The sequence below is a fragment of the Homo sapiens genome, chromosome 5 (assembly GCF_000001405.40).
Source record: "Homo sapiens chromosome 5, GRCh38.p14 Primary Assembly".
NCBI lineage: Eukaryota > Metazoa > Chordata > Mammalia > Primates > Hominidae > Homo > Homo sapiens.
In genome coordinates, this window is record NC_000005.10 from 101,263,852 (window position 1) to 101,282,256 (window position 18,405).

An 18,405-nucleotide genomic window follows, 5' to 3' on the forward strand; every position below is an offset into this window, starting at 1 on the left:
AGATAACTAATCATCAGAAAAGTATAAATTAAAACCACAAGGAGATTCCACTTTATACTAGTAAACATGGCTGTTACTCAAAGGACAAAAAATAATAGATGTTGGTGAGGATGCGGAGATAGAGTTACACTTATACATGGCTGTTGGGGAAGTGAATTACTGCAACTCTGTGGAAAACAGTATGGAGATTTCTCACGAACTAAAAGTAGAACTACCTTTCGATCCTGCAATCCCACTACTATTTATCTACCCAAAGGTAACAAAATCATTATATCACAAAGACATCTACACTTGCAGGTTATCACAGCACTATTCACAATAGTAATGACATGGAATCAACTTATGTTTCCATGAACAAATTGTTGGACAAAAAATTATGGTATACAATGAATACTATTCAGTCATGTAAAAGAAAGAAATCATGTCTTTTGCAGCAACTTGGACAGAACTGAAGGCATTATCTTAAGTGAAACAACTCAGAAACAGAAGGTAAAATCCCACATGTTCTCATTTATGAAAGCTAAATAATGTGTACACATGGACATAGAGTGGGGAATATTAGACATGGAAACTCAGAAGCATAGGAGGGTGGGGGAGGGGTGAGAGATGAGAAATTACATAATCGGTACAATGTACATTATTTGGGTGATGGTTACACTAGAATATCTGACTTCACCACTACACAATATATCCATGTTGTGTAGTATAACAAAACTACACTTGTACCCCTTAAATGTATACAAATAAATTTTAAAAAAAATTAAAAAATACATACACTCCATATTCTTCTAGAAATGTGGAATATATTTTTATTTTCCTAAGCCTTATATAATACTGCATACTCTTTTTATCTATTAAGATAGACTGAAGTGATGGTAAACTGATGTTCATTGATTAAAATTTGTATGCTTTGAAACATGTGACCCAAAGGTCCAAATTGTGTAAGAAACATTTCATAAAGTACTTTATTTTTGTAAAATATAAATTTCTGGGAAATAATTTCTACTTTAACTTTTTTTCTCTTACTGGATTGTTAGTTATACTTTAGGTGATTAGGCTGGTAAAGTGCAGGCTAGCTACAGAAGTATATGCTCATTATCTTTAAAAGTTTAGCATTTTTTGGTTGTCTGGATAATGTGAATATGTTTGTTTGCTTACATCCACTATATTTTTCCCAACACCATAACGTTTCTCTAAGGCAAAACAATTTCAATGTGAACTTCTTGGTTTAAAAATATGTCTGTTAATTTTTTTTTCTTTTTTACTGATCCAACTGGGGAACAAGTTAGTCTATGAATCCTTTAATCCTCCTCCCATAAAGAGATTTAAATAAAGCTTGTTCTTTTAAAATAGATGCGTATTTATGACTGTATTCTCAAATAAAATGCTGTGCAAATGACTCTGAGTGACTTTTGAGGTTAGGTTATAACATGCCATGAATCTTCCAGTAGTTCTCTCTGGGATTCTCTGTTACAATGTACAAAGGCCAGCTACCAAATGATCACTATATGAAAGGACGACAGAAAGTGACTACAAAAAGAGAAAGAGAGAGAGACCCAATAATTCCACTGGTTTTAGTGTCCAGATATTTGAATCTTTTCATTCTAGTGCAAAACATGTGAGGGAAGAAGCCTTCATGAGGACTGCAGACACCTTTTGATGTGAATGTATGAGTTAACAAATGAGAATTGCAGTTGAGTGTAGGCAACTTCCATATTCATGAGCAAAATAAATGATAGCTAGTGTTTTAAGTCACTGTTTTGGTATAGTTTGTTTTACATCCATAGATAACCGAAAAAGGAAATTATTTAGAATCATCTATAGGACTGTTACTGCATTTCGATACATCACATTTTATTCCAACTAATAGCCTTAAATCTTAAAATCCTGAAAGAGAGAATGTGTCTGCGATTGTCTCTCTGTCTTTTATCCTGAGATAATCTTTCTGTACCTCAAAGGCTTTACTTTCATCAACAGCTAAATTTGTCAAAACTGTTTTCTTACCCAATGTACTTAACTGAGTTGTTTATATTAATGAAAAAGAGTTTTGCATAACTTATCTTTCTTTTTTTTTCTTTTTTTTAGTATTTGAAGAGATTTATTCTGAACCAAATATGAGTGACCATGGCCAGTGACACAGCCCTCAAGGAGGTCCTGAGAACATGTACCTGTAAAGATTTTTTTTTTAATTGGGGTATGGGGAAGATACCAAGTCAAGATGCATGTGGTTACAAATAAGAATTTTTAAAAAGGCAGAATAAACATCTTGTAATAAACTTAATAAGAAATACGTAAAAGAAGAAAACCATATTGAAATGTATATCATGTTCTTAAATAGAAAAATTCAGTATAACAATATCAGCTCTTCCTTAGTTAATCTACTACTTTTATGTGATCCTGATAAAACGGCCAACAGGAACTAAAGTTAGACAAGCTGATTATAATGTATCTATGGGGAAAATAAAATTCAAGAATGAACATAGAATTCTAAACAGGGAAGATAATAAGGAAAGAATGTAATTCAAACACTGTGCTGCTATCACATGAATAGACATATCAATGAAACAGATTAGAAAGTCCAGGAATGGACACAAACAAACCATACAGGAATTATAATAAAAAATGAATTTTCAAATCAATGGAGAAAATATAGATTATTCAATAAATGGTATTGAAACATCTGACTAGTAAAGCAGGAAAAAAGAAACACATTTGGATTAATACCTTATATTATATATCAAGAAAAAGTCCAAGTTGATCAAATATCTGAATCCTAAAACCAAAACCATAAAAGCACTAAGAAAAAAATGGAAGAATTTTGTTTAATCTCAAAGTTGGAAAGGTCTTTCTATACGTGAAGGAAAACCCTGAAGTCACAAAGGAAAATATTGATAAATCCAACTCTGTAGAAATAAAAATGCATACATAAAACATCCAGTATAAATCAGAAGATAAATGACAGACTGGGAAAAAGTATTTGCAACTCATATTCAAAGGCTTAATTTCTTTAACGAATAAGAAACAAAATCAATGATTCAAAGAAAAACATGAAGAAGAAATAGCAAAAGACAATTTGTAGAAAGGAAAATCAAGCAATTATAAAAATTAAGGGGTATTCAATCTCAGTACTTACTTTTTAAAAATGTTAATCAAAACTACAATGAGCTGTAAGTTTTCATCTATTGCATTATCAAAGAACAAAAGTTTGATAATTCACCAGATTGCTCTGCCAGTTTTAGGGTTATTGTCCCTCAGCTCCAATCCTACCTTGTGAAACTGTGATGCTGGTGCTGGCACTCTGCACCCCACATTCATCATTGCCATCTGACTCCATGGTAGGCTCAGCCAATGAGAGGTACAAGAGGTAGAGAGGAAAGCTGAAAGAGGAAAAAGGGACTTATTCCTCCCGGTCCGCTTCCTGTTCCTGTCTATTTCACCTCAGCAACTTCTTTCACCTGCAGCATCAGTTCTTAGCCACTGAAGCAGCTGAGTCCAGTTTGCAGTTTTTCCACCACGTGCCAATTAAGCCTGATTATTCTGCCCTCAGAGAACCATCACTAGCCAACCAGTGCTCCCTGCCAGAAGTCTGGTCGCAGCCCCAGCGGATCCCTCCTCCAAGCTCACGGTATCAGATGAACCATACTCCGCGCTCAGAGATATGAGTTTCAATACTGGAGATCCCTCCTCTAAGTTTCTCAATTTTAATAATTTCAACTTATTCACTTGTTCTCCTTACCCCTAGAGATGGTGGTTGTTTTCTGCAATTGCTACCTCCCTGATACCTTAGTATTCCATTCTTGCCTTAATTTTCTTCTTAACAACTTTACACCTACTCAATTATCTTTCTGAAGGCTTTCGTTTAAACAAGTTTCCTGGTAACTTGCTTTATTGTTTGGGTGTCTTTTGACAGAAAAAATTTTAGCTGTGATATGCCAGTCAATATTGTATTCTCTGTATTTTAAATAAGAAAAGCTACTCAAATGCTGCCATAACTGCAGACTATAATCTCATTTCTGGGTTATGTTTTTCCTTTTAAAACCTTAGGCAAGATTTGCAGTATCTGTTTCAAGCCATAGAGACATTGGAGCCCAGATTATAAAATTCTATTTTTCAGCGTTACCACAGATTCACTGTAAGAAACTATAAAAATTGCTTAAATTTGGAGATGACATGATAACACATCTAGGAAATATGACCTTCATTTACATCATGTTCTTATTCCTCTACTATTAGCCTCTTGGTGCCTAAAAATTGACATGCAGCAACTTCAAATCTCAAAAGCTAAAATAGAAGTGAATACTTGAAGGTAAAAGTTTTTAAAGTATCAGTTGCACATGGAAGTAATTGAGAGGTGCTATAAAAAGAGGAAGGAAGTATTAAACTTGGCTCTCTTTTCACCTCTGTGGTGACTTGATACTTAGAATAATCTACATTTACAAGATATTTTCTTGGCTCTCTCCTGGCTTCTGACATCACAGATTACAGACAGAAAGGAATAAAGAATACTTAAATAATGGTGTCAGTAAATGGTATTAAATTTTTCTCTAATATCTGTGTGTCATATACTTAGTCAAGTAAAAGCTGAATTAAAATTTTAAAAAATATATTTTTAAGTATTTCCTCTTATTTCCATGCTCTTAATTGATGTTAGTGGCTTTAGGTACATTTTAAGACTTTGTACATTACTTAACTCATTTGGTTATCACCCTTTAGCCAATGTATTAGTTACCCAGTTTTACCAATGTGCTATCTGAATACCCTGAAAATAGAAATAAGATGACAGTGACTGTTTCCATCAAATTGTGCTATTAGAATTTTAAATAAATAGGAAATAATTAAATATCTACAAAGTCATAACAACTTCTAACTCGTTCTCAATAAATGATGCTGTTTGAAACTTTTTTAATTCTGGAAAATTATAAATAACCTAGAGATAAATAAATTCTGAATTGATAATTGTTAAAATACCCAGACATTCTGATGTAATCATTAATTGAATGTAATGCCATAAATGCACATTTACGTGAAGCAATATTTATCCCATATTAAGTGAAAAAAATGCTTTAAAACAACAATAAATTGCACCTCTCCTAGAGTAAGAGAGAATAGATTTTCCCTCCAATCTTAAAATTAAAAAATAAAAACAAAAGTATGCAAAAAATATGAAAGTACAGTTTTCAGACAGTAAACAATAGGCAGCAAAAAACTGTTACATCTGAGAGAAATGCTTAAAAGCATGCTTGGAAACAATTAAACTGGTGACAAAGTATTTACATGGATACCAAAGCAATGTCCAACACTAAAAGAATACAATAAAACTCTGGACCCAATAATGTAAAACCACAATGTTCATTACCCAATCAAGAATTCAACAGGCATGCAAAGAAGCAGAAAAACATGACTCTTATTCAGGAAAAAAATAAACTACTAGAAACAGAACCAAGAATTATCAACATAATAGGGTTATCAACCACAGATGTTAAAAAAAATTTATAAATAGGTACCACATTTAAGACAGTAGAGAAAAAGATGAATATAATGATGAGAGGCATAGGATATATGTAGAATGGCTCAAATAAAGTTCCATCCATTTAAAACAATATCTAAAATGAAAAATACACTGCATTGGATTAACAGCATATTAGACATTGCAGAAGAGACTAGTGATATTGAAAACAAAACAATATAAAATATCCAAATGAAACATAGAGAAAAATAAGAGTTAAAAACAAACAGAGCCTTGTTGGTTAGTGTGACAGTATCAAATTGTGTAATACTGTCTACTGGTCTCAGAAGAAGAAGTAGGAGAGTACCAAAAGTTGAATAAATAAGGGCTTTAATAATTTTTTTTATCACAGATGATATGCTGTTCTATGTACAAAATTTTTAAAAAATCTACAAAAAAGCTTTGAGAACTATTAAATACTTTTATCATGTTGATGAATGCAAGCAATAAACAAATGAATATTTAAATGAATGAAAACCAACTTCCACACAGCAGTATCAAATTTAAGAAATTTTTAGGGATATATTTAACAGGAAGTGTGCAAGTTTTGCACAATGAAAAGTATGAAATATTGCTAAGGGAAATTATGGAAGACCTAAGTGAATTAAGAACAGTAGTATCATTATGGATCAGAAGACCCAATATTGTAAAGATTTCAAATCTCTCTAAATTTATTTACAATTTTAAAGTCATCTAAACCAAAATGGAAATCAGCAAGCCTCTCTTAAACTTTATAGAAAAACGATGTTGGATAATTAAAATTACCTGATTTCAAGACTTATTGCAAAGCTATATCAACAAAAGCAGTGTGGTATTGATATAATGGTAGAAATATAGACTAGTATAAAATAATAGGAAGGCCAAAATAGAAAAACACACATAGGGTAAATTAATTTTTCATAAAACTACCAAGGTAATTCAATGCATAAAGGATGAACTTTCAAGACATTTTGATGAAACTATTAAATATCTAAATGCATAAAAATGAACCTACATGTTACCAAATTCTATACACAAAACTAAATCAGTATAAATAATGGATCTAAGTGTAAGGGTTACAACTACAAAAAATATATTAAAAAATTGAGCAGAAATATTTGTAGGAAGCAAATATTTTTTGATAGGACACAATATTTATAAATAATAAAAGATAAGAGACAGATGAACTTAAATTAATTAAAACTTAAATTAAAAACTTTTAAAATGTTTTTAGCTAAGATACAATAATAGGACTAGATTTATCCTTTACCCCAAAATAACAATAAAACCATTACCACATGTGAAACCATAGTTGTTAAGACATAGGTTATCAGACAATTAAGGTTAGTGATCTGAGAGAGAAAATAATTGAACAAAGTGAGTCATATGTTGGCCCAGCTTACTGCATGGAGAAAGTACGCAGCCAGCGATTTGAGGATGGCGAGTCCATGTGGAACTTAGTATTCTTGTCTCTTTAAGAAGATAAATCTAGGAGACCAAGGAGACCAAGGCAGCAATTGTTAGCAAGGCAGAATACGAGAGACAACAACAACAACAACAAAACAACAACAACAAAAAAGATTAGGAGGAACAATTCCTAGTAAGAAATTTATGAAAGTATTAAGGAGAAAAAGCCCCAAGCTCACGTGGGACTGGGAATCAATCCTATTCCCAAGAACTAAATTAGAAAGCTTCAAAATTTGTTCAGAATAATATCCATAAAGTTTTTGAATCTGTAGGAGTCACAATTCATCCTAATCTAAAGGCTTCTCTGCCTCCACCTAAAACAGCTCTAAATAAAGGTCCTGAAGAGTTAAACAATATCCAAGAAATCTAACCGCACCCCAGAACAAAGCTCAGTAGTATTTACTGGAATACAAAAATTTGCAGTATGAGATAAAATTCCTCACGTCTGTTTTTGATGAAAAACTACAGTCATGCAAATAAGCTGAAAAGTACAACCCACAATAAAATGAAAATCAACTGATAGAAAAATACCCCCAAAAGACACAGATGGAGTATTATAAATGAAAGTTTTATCTTGTATTATAATTGTACTCTATATGTTTAACAAGCTACAGGAAAGGCCGAATTAGACTTTATGTTATGTAGAATTAGGGAAGATATAAAAAAGACTCAACTCCCACACACCCAACCCTGGGCCACTCCTGAAAGTGCACTCAGGTTGCATCTGGAGTTCGTCCTGAGGGCTGGAGCAGGCAGTGTCCATCCTTGGTGCAGAAGCTACTGCCCTGGAGCTGTCTGCTTGGGTGATCCAGGCAGTGTAGTTCCCCTTAGACTGTGAGAGCCCAGCCCTACCCTGTATCACCTCTGCAGTTCCTGAGAGATGTTCCCCTTCTTCCCCAATGTCATTGCCAATTACAGGACCTAGAATCTAAAAGCATGCTGGGCAAACACACAGGGTGAGGAAGAGGCAGTTTTTTTGTGACTATGAGGGGTGTGGCAAAACCTTCATCAGGAACTACCATCTGTCCCTTGATCTTGATTCACACAGAAGAAAAGCCATTTCTGCAGCTATTGGCTGTGGTCAAAAATTCAAAACAGAATCAAATCAGTAAAAATAATGTGTACGTAATTTTGAACTTTGGAACATGAGCTTTAAGAAACATTGCAGCTGAAAATTTTTCAGTGCCAGTATATTGGTGAAACACTCTTCAAGAAAACCATGGAGGATGTGGGAGACACTTTGCTTCACCCAGCAGGTGGAAAGGAAGGAGAAAGGTTCAGAGGGTTCTGTGTGTCAGACAAGACTTTCCTCTGAGGTAAAACCATGGACAGAGCTTCTTGAAATGTGAGAGAAACCCAAAGAGACAGTATCACATGAAGCATGAGAGGAAACATGTGAAATATGTCTCTGGAAACATTCAAATGCAAAGATTGTCTTAAGCAGCACATGAAAACTCGTGCCTCCAAAAGGGATGTATGCTGATGGCGAAGAGAAGGCTGTGGTAAAACCTTCACAACTGTTTAAACTCCAGAACCATATTTTCTCTTTTCATGAAGCGGAGCATTCATTTATGTGTGAACATGCTGGTGGTGGCAAAGGTTTGCAATGAAACAAAGTCTCAGTAGTTATGCATGTACATGATTCTGATAGGAAAATAAAATGACCAAAATAAAACAATCTTATGGAAAATAGTTTTGCTTCTCATGTCATTGCATATATCCCTCCTAAACAAAACAGGAACAAGGCTTATCTTTGCCTACAAATGGAGAGTCACTGAATTGTATGAAGACAAGGTGCTCTGCGCAGTTGTGATACTTACCCCCAGCTAAATCTCAGATTGCTTTGTTTAAAGAACTATAGACTGAGGAACTTAGCTATTTCCTGTCAGAAGCATGTTTTTTTCCTTTATAAATCACTATTGCAGTGGCTCACACCTAAACCCAGCTACTTGGGAGGCTGAGGTGGGAGGATCCCTTGAGCCCAGGAGTTTGAGGCTGCAATAATTCTTCCACTCCACCCCAGCCTGGGTGCAGAGTGACATCCACCCCTACCCTGCACCTTGTCTCTAAAAAAAAAAAGATAAATAAAAATAAAATCACTGACGTAGAAAATAAAGCCCAAAGGAAATTTCTAGAGATTCTAAAAAACATTCTGAAATTTGGAATACACAGCAAAAGATTCCATAAGATTAGATATTGCAGAATACAAGATTCATAAGTTGATAAATTTTATACATAAATAATTAAAAATATCCAATATGAAACACAGACAGAAAAAAGACTGAAAAAATAAAAGGGCATCAGTGGACTGTGGAACAACTCTACAGGACTGAGAACATGTGAAATTAAGCTATTCATAAATTTTGAATTTTTAAAACTCTTAATAAATAATGCTGAATACTTTTGAAATTTGATATAAACTGTAAACTCACAGATCCAAGAAGCTCAAAGAACCTCAAGCACAAGTCTGAAATCAAAACTAGACAAAACACGAAGATATATCATAAGCAAATTTCCTAAAGAGTGATGACAAAATCTTAAAAGCAGCTGTGGGCTACAGTAAAAAAAACAAACAAACAGCAAATGTGATTTCTTGTCAGAAACAATGGATCAGATATATTCCTTAAAGTGTTGAGGGGGAAAAAAGAGATATACCTAAAATTATGTCTCCTGTAAAAATTCATTTTAAAATTAAAGGCAAAATAAAGACTTTTCAGACATACAAATACTTAAAGACTGTATTACCAACAGATCTAGGTTACCTGAAATGCCAAAGACGTTGGCATTTTTGACCACAGCCAATAGTTGTAGAGATGGCTTTTCTTCGGTGTGAATCAAGATCTAGGGACAGATGGTAGTTCCTGATGAATGTTTTGCCACACCCCTCCTAGTCACAAAAAAACTGCCAAAGACATTAAGACAGATGAAAATGATACCAAATGGGATTCCAGATCCACAGAAAGGAATGAAAAACACCAGAAATTGAAACTACGTAGGTAAATATAAAGACACTTTCCTTGTTATATGAAATGTTACAAATACAATTAATGTATTGAAACAAAATAATCTATCATGGAGTTTAAACCTATGTAAAAGTAACATAGAGAAATGAACTATGTCTCTATATACTAGTTATGAACAATTGGAAATGAAAATGTTTCTATGTGTGTGTATATATTTGGGTGTGTATACATACACACGGAGACATTTTAATTTCTTTCTATATATATAGGCAAGAGCATCAAAAATGAAATACTTAGAGATAAAGCTGACAAAATATTTGAAGAGCATATACGGTAAAAACTGAAAAATGTTTCAGAGAGAAATTTGAAGAAAAATGAAGAACTTTATGTGTCTATGGACTGGATGACTAATATTATTTAGATATCAATTTTCCCCAAATCAATCTATAAATTAAAGGCAATTGTATTCAACATTGCAGCAGATATTTAATAAAATAATGCTGGTTTTAAAATTCATGTGGAAATGGCAAGGAAATTGAATAGTTAAAATCAATTTTGAAATAAAAGGAGCAAAGTTGGATAAATTACACTGCCTGATTTCAATACTTATTCTAAAGCTTCTCCAGGAAAGAAAGGATGGTATGGGTGTCTAAATAGACAAGTCAAAGGAACAGAAATAGACATAACCATGTAAGTCTATTTTCCAGAGTTGCAAATGCAACTTAGTGAAATAAGGATAGTTTTTACCAAAAATTCTTGCTGAAAATTTGAATATCCATATTCAAAAAATTAAGCTGGTCCCAAAATTACAGCATGTACAATAATGAGCCCAAAATGCATTACAGGCTTAGAAGCAAAGCAAAAACTGAAACCACCCCAACTTTTAGAGTAAAACATAGGAGAACATATTTATGACCTTAGACTTTGTATGTAAACCTTAGATAATACATCATAAGCTCAGTTCCATAAGTTATTTAAATTGAATACATTTCTGTTGATATACATTGAATAAATTAAAAATAAAAATCGACCACTTAGACTTCATAAAAACTAACAACTTTGCTTGTCAGAAGACACTGTTAAGAAAATAAAAAATAAGTTACTGACTAGGATAAACTATTTGCAAATCACATATTTTAGAAAATGATTTGTATCAAAATATAAAAAAACTCAAAATTCAATGATAAGAAAAAAATTCAAATAAATATAGGAAAGCAAATAGGAGAAATAACACATGAATAGTAACGATTCCAATATCAGCAGAAACTAGAGCATTAAATTAGTCCTAACACAAGAAGACAACTAATTATGTATATATGCTTACACACAGACACACACATAAATTTGCTGCATAAATGAGAATGCCTCTAGTCAGAGGGAATCAGGTTGTAGAATTGTCATTTCTTGCCTTACAATTTCTTCCAGTTCTTTCTTTTTCTTATAATTCCCCTTCCCCTTGGTAAAATTGACAAGATGTGGAAAGTGATCACAGGAAATTTTACAGGATAATTAAAGGCATTTTTTAAAGTTAGAGAAAATCAGAAGAATATGTATAGAATGCATGTTCCTTAATTTAGATTACGTTTTAAACTTCCAATAGAATGAATATAAGGGCTCCCAGAGATAAGAACCCTCATTTTTTTTTCCCATTACAATCCTTTTGAATTTTTTTTACAACACAATTATTAGTCAGTTTTTCTAACTGGTTTTGATGAATCCCATCTTCTCCCCCTAAATTGGTATGTATTAGCATTTACATCTCATCTTTCTAGTAATCCTGAGATTTAAAGGCAGAGCTGCCATCCTGAAAATAAGTAATTAACATGTGCTTTCTCTAATACTCAATCGTGGATATTATTTTTCTAATTTTCTTGTGCATTTTTTCCTCCTTTCTAAAATTTATTTTATTTCCCATATAAGGGATTCTGCAATTTCTATTCCTTGGCGAGCCAACCCTAACAATGCAGTAATGATTAGATATGCTGCTAGACCCAGGAGTGTTACAATCCTTGCTTCTCTATCTTTCTCATTTGCCCTTTAATTGGGCAGTGTAGCATCAACATGTCATATAACATTTATTACTTTGAAGTGCCTTAGACATAGCATAAGAACAATACATGTTTAATTAAATGAAGGATGCATGGACAAGTGAACTCGGTCGGCCTGTAGGAGGTCTCTATGGATTTCACACATATTTCTAGGTAGCTGGGGGCAGTAGAATAGCATTTAATTTCTGAGAGAGGAAGTGATCCTGAGAAGACTCAAAAAAGCAAAGTACAGGCCTTAAAGAAAACTGCTCTTGGATGCCTAATTACCCTAAGCTTATCCCCACGTTCAAATCATTTTCAAATATCTGAAAGAATTGAGGAGGGCAGGTCTCAGTAGCTGAACCATAAAGAGATAAATTTAAGACCTGTATTATAAGAAAGTATATTCTTCATGTGTCACTGAGACATTGATATCTGCACAGCATTTAATGGAGTTTTGACAGTAGCTAATGATAATTTAGGTTACAGAGTTTTTGTTAGTAGGTTTACAGCAAGACCAAAAGTGGTTTTTGCGTACATTGAAAAATATTGTAGGATGGAGATGAAGTTTCAAATACTTAGTTAAAAATGGGCTACCCGATAAATGTTGTGAAGAAAATTGAATATTCATTTTAAAAGTCAGAAATATTTCTCAAGCAATATTAAAAACATAAATTTCAGTAATAAATGCAAGAAAAGCTGTATTTTCAAAGAATTAGAAAAAAATAATACTTCTAGAAGTCTAAGATTTAAAAACACATTTTAATTTCAAAAACTTGAAGTCAAACAAAATGCCATCAAAAAAGATGATTGAGTAAAATAAAGTACACATATACCACAGAATTCTGTTTAATATTTTAAAAGAAATAAGTAAATTTAAACAGACTGACACGAGCAAATCTCCAAGTCATATTGACATCAAATGCAATTCAGAGAAAATTACGTATCTAATTTGGTTCATTAAAATCTCTACTAGAAACAGGGTATCAAAAAGCATGTGTGTTTATGTGTGTGGTGTTTGTAAATTAATACAGTAAGGTCTGGACATGTATAAACTAGGCTATACCAGTGGTTATTTCTAGGGAGGAAAATAGGATTATATGAAGGTACAATGCTATTTTCACTTCCCACTACAATGTGGGAAGGTTTGACATTTTTCCCACATTGTGTTCCTCTATTATTTGAGTAGTTATAGAAACATTTTTAAAACACATGTTTTAAAATGTTATTTTTTTCTTATCATAATTTCATTCATCTGGAACTGCAGTTATTGAAGGACAGGTCAAAATTCTAGATCCATTTGACAGTTGAAAAGGAAAAATAAATACTATTGCAAAGAAGGTAGTATTCCTGGAAGTATTTTACATGTTGGGTTACTTTTCTTTTATTCTTTAAGTCACAGTAAACCTATTATGATGGTTTCTTACATAGATTTTTAAGGAATTGTACAAAATTGGATAAGAAGATTGCAATTCTAGGTAATAACATGTGAATTATTTTACCAATTGGAAATTCTTGAGACCTCCATCACTATATAAGTGACATATTGCAAAAGCCCTTGATATAAAAGGGTATGAGAGAGTTAAGAAATATAGATTCATCTTAATATCACAAATAAGATTTTAAAGGAATGCAATTTTTTACTTCCACTGTTGTGCTAACATCAGTTCTGGTAAGTTTTGAGTATCTAAAGCACTTTTAACTGTGTTCAACTTTAATGTATGACAAGCATTTGATTTTGTTATTCATCTTGCTGTATAAGAACTATGCCTGAAGGCCATAAAATGCATTCTATTTTAGAGTCTGAAATATCAGTCATAAACTCAACTTATTAAAACTCAAAGAGATAAAAGTTTCTATATAAATTATTATAATACAAAGGGAAATAATTCCATAGCCTGGTTAGAAGATAAGCCCTGCATTTGGGAATAGGCTTAAAGGGTTAGCAGCATTGATGCATTTCACATTGCCCCTCATAGAGGAGAATTGCCATAGAAAGCCTCAGAAAGAGAATGAGATATATGCTGCCTTCACACATTTAAGAAAAAGTCCAATTTAAAGATTTTTAAGTGTTCGTTTTAATTAATAGTGAAGCAGACATTTTATATTTTCTTTCTATTTCCTTCTATGATTTCAGCCTGCTGCCTGTTTCCTAGAAAAAATACAATTTAGTAATATATTCTTATTTTAGAGAAAGACATAATTATAGGTTCATATAATGTTTGTTCCAAATGGGATCTTAGAACTTAGTTTTCTCATTTCCTTATTTTACAGATTGTAAGTTAAAAATTATTTTAGGCCGGGAGTGGTGGCTCATACCTTTAATTCCAGCACTTTGGGAGACCAAGGTTAGTGAATCACTTGAGCCCTGTAGTTTAAGACCAGTCTGGGCAACATGGTGAAACCCCGCATCTCTACAAAAAATTATCTGGGCTTAGTGTCACGTGCCTGGAGTCCCAGGTACACAAGATGCTGAGGTGGGAGGATGACCTGGGCCCAAAGAGTCAAGGCTGCAGTGATCTGTGCCTGGGCAACAGAGTGAGACCCTGTTTCAAAAGAAATTAAACTAAAAACAAATAAAGAATTCTTTTCTGCAGAAGGAAATAATTTCTTGTTTCTACGTGACCATTATGCAGGAAATCTTGCCTAACTGCAAAACAGCATGTCATTTTCTTAGTTATGTGTATAGGTGACTCATTTCTCAGTCATGAAGTACAAGCAAGCATCAGTGGGAGGATTTGGGTACCTGGGAAACATGAGATTATAACTCAATGAGAATGTGGCTCTCCTTTTTCTCCCGGGAACAGGTTACAAAGGATCCAGAACAACAGCAACAATAAAAATTCCAAGAGAAGGAAAAAAAAAGACAAAATGAGTACTGTTCCCACAAATAATCCTTAATAATCAGTACTCTCTTGTTCACTAAGAAAAAAGCATATATTACAGTGGAACATAATATTATATGTAGTTTTGAATACCATCACCATTTTTTTTAGTTAAGTTCTTTTTATGCTGTTAAACCATATAATCTTAGCTTCTATGGTAACAGATATTTCTGTTCAAGAATGTTATTTTGACAAAACAATGCAAAAATTGAAGATGTTTTCAGGTGATGCTGAGAATTCTGAAGTATTGCCCAAACTGGATCAAGCAAACATTGAGAGACATTATTAATGAGCCACCTGACCAGCTTTGAGACCCTCAGAAAGTTCTTTGTTAAGCAAAGCCATGCTGTGTTGAAGTTGACAAAATGAAATAAGGGAAAGGGAAAGGTGCTATGTAGCATAACCACAACTCAATTGCTAGCCAACCTCCTACACAATGTACAGTCACAACTGGTGAGCCACTATTAATATAAGACAGAGGCAGCCTTACATAAAGTATGAAGGGAAAATCTTTTCTAAAACGGAGCATAATGGAACGGTGTGCTGTTGTCAAGGTAAAAACCTCATGGCAGTATGAAATATAAAAGATCTAATTAGAATGTGCCATCTAGCTTCTTACTAACTTAAGATGCAGTTCCCAGGGAAGGGACTTAATCCCTAATTTTAGTCAAAGGGCAAATGTACAATTAAGCTAACACAAATGCTTCAGCCAATCTTTTAGGAAAATTCTCTTATCCCTGGAGTCCCTAACCCACCACAGCTTAATAAGAACTTCCTACTGCACAAAATTGCTGTTTGTCAGGCTGAAAAGAGCACAGCCCACTGAACTGCTCTACATCAGATGACACTTTGATCTGAAATAAATGTGAGTATAAAATAGACTACAGCATGTGTAGTTGCTGGAATTGAAAATAAACTTTTTTTGCGCATAAAAAATACCTCACTTATTTCTAATCCAAAGATATCTCTGCCAGCCACTCTTGGAACACTCATGTGTTCTGAGGCTTTGACCAACAAACTAATTTGAAAATAAAAAAATATATATGAAATAACAAGCTTTACTGAAAAGATGCTGTGAGAATAAGAAAGTTCATCATTATGGGAATGCTTGTGCCAGTAACAGCACTGGCCCAAGTCTCCCTATGTGTTAATGAACAGAGGTATTTCCAGTCCACAAAGTTATTGGTGGGTTGAGTAGGGTTGGTTCACACAGTGTGCCCCTGTGAATAAGCAGTGCTATCCTTTTTGAGGAGGAAATTTGTCTTTTGACTGCTAAGGGTTCATTAGCTCCTCTCTTTATCTTGCAGAAAGAGGAAAAGGGAATAATGAGGGAGCTTTGGAAACAAATCTGATCTGAGAAAATGGTCTGGCTGTAGCTAATAGGTTGCATTGCTTTCTCCCAACCAACATCCATTTCAACTGAAATGCACTCAATTATGCTTATCCAAATTTTTTACCTCTAAAATGTAAAATTGATGTCACCAACATTTCAGGGAATATAGAGGAAAGTAAAAAACACAAACTCTACACTCAAACTTCCAGTTTATAAGTAAAAATTAAAAGTTCACAAATAAATATCACTCAAAGAAGAATATAAAAGCTATGAAATAGTACAAATAAAATGTAGAGGGAAATAAGAAAAAGAGATTAAACCCACCCAATCGTTCAGACCAGCCTCAAACAAATTGGATAGATAAGGAAAATCAGCCCCTTCCTCAAAACACCTACCATCACTTGCTTAAAATTTGTCACAAAAATTTAAAAATCTTCCATAAGCAAAAATGTGACCCGCGACCCTAGAGTTGCATTTGTATATCAGAGACATGGATATTTTTTAAAGCAAGCATTACAGGTGTCACTATTGGCAGATAATATAATAATTTTCTCAAAAAACTAAATGCTAATGAAGATCACTGACAAACTACTGGAATTACTCAGTGAGTTCTATAAGATGCTGGTTTACAGGTCTGAACTCTGTATTAGTGACAGAGCTATACCTGGCAAAAAACTTCTGGATACACAAGGCAAAATATTTTGTGTTACTTTTTTAGCAAAATCTCATGAGTACATTAGATTATGGTGGTTACTCAGTACTTAGCTACTTACCAAGTGTTTACTGAATGTTTGTCTTAGTGCATTTGCAGAACAGCAAGTAATAAATAAGCAGAAATTAGTCACTGACGTCAAAAGCCAAAGACCAGCTGCCACTATGCATAGATATATGTACTGAGGTCCCAATGGAACTAGTTTTATTATTTACGTGTTTGTGCGTGTGTGTGTGTTTGTGTCTGTGTGATAGTCATTGAGAACAGCTCACGTTATACATTTTCTAATGAGGAACTGAGGAAATAAAGTGAATGGAGATGAATTTGTTCCCTATTTTAAAGTATCCTTCAAGGACATTCAAAGTGAGATTATATATCTAGGAAAAAATACTGTATTTGTAATATTTTTCTGTGGCCAATTTGCTTTAAAAATATAAATCATTTTAGGAGGTTTTAAAAATTGTTCTAAAGTAATTCCTATTATGGACATTTTCTGTGTGAGTAGCAACATTCCATGCATTAAAATTCAACTTCTCAAATTATTTAATTTTGGACTTCACAGAAACAACCAAATAATTAATATAAATTGTTTTTTCCTCTACTAACGTAAGTATAGTTATTATATCACAGACTCTAAGTATTCCTCAGTTGCTTATGTCAATTTATCTTTTTTGACACAGGATCTTACTGTGTTGCCCAAGCTGGTCTCCAACTCCTGGGCTCAAGTCATCCTGCCACCTCCGCTTTGCAAGTAGTATATATCAATTTCTAATTTCATACTTCTAGACATGAAATCAGATATAGTTAAAAGCATTATTTATCTGGGTTAGATTTATTTTCTTGTGCCATTCAGGCTATGTTTGCTCTGCCTTTCCTTTAGGTTCTGAGTTCCTTTTTACATATTAGTCTATGCAAAAATAGATGTTGTTGTTTTGTTGTTGTTGTTATTGCAGGACCATTATTACTAGTCACAGTATTATTTTTAAAATCTTGGGTGCATTAAGACTTCACACTCTTAATTATTTTATTTTTTAATCAATTGCATTTTTTAGAAGGCTTTGCTCTCTCAGTTATCCTGTTCAACACCTGCCATGTCTTGCTATCTTGCTTACTATATTTTATGAGGGAAATATTTTATTTTTCTTTGTGGTTAAACTGCTACTCTATATATTTCATTAGAGTCTTACCTTTTCCTAGCTGCTTTGGAATTTTGTCTCTCTATTCCCTTGCTATAGTATGAAGCACACATATTTGTACATATTTGTGTAGGGTGTCATGAGGAGAAAGAACACTGTTCTGTTATGGATTACTCTGGTTTATCCTGGTTCCTAGAAGAAAATATAAATAGATCTAGAATGTGTTCACAATGAATATAAATCTCTGTATTAGTCAGCATTCTCCAAAGAAACTGAACCATTAGGATATAGAGAGGTATAAAAAGAAGATCTATTATGGGAATTGGCTCACACAATTATGGAGTCCAAAAAGTTCCGTGATATCCCTTCTGCAAGCGGGAGAACTAGGGAAGCCAAT

General features: G+C 33.3%; 1 long non-coding RNA gene and 1 pseudogene across 3 annotated transcripts in view; one reads left to right on the plus strand and one right to left on the minus strand.

Annotated features, from left to right (window-relative positions):
- Positions 1-9,954, minus strand: part of LOC107986438 (uncharacterized) — a 28,207-nt gene extending 18,253 nt beyond the window's left edge. Inside the window, exons 1-3 of one of the 3 annotated variants that reach the window (XR_001742828.2) lie at positions 9,715-9,954; positions 6,889-6,973; positions 3,268-3,377 (exon numbers count right to left, since the gene is read on the minus strand). This is a non-coding gene — a long non-coding RNA (uncharacterized LOC107986438). Of the gene's footprint in view, positions 1-3,267; positions 8,872-9,714 lie in introns of those variants that run through there. The other 2 variants (XR_007058890.1, XR_001742827.1) reach the window with 2 other exon arrangements.
- GTF3AP4 (general transcription factor IIIA pseudogene 4) lies at positions 7,886-8,773 on the plus strand (annotated as a pseudogene).
- Positions 9,955-18,405: the final 8,451 nt, after the last annotated feature.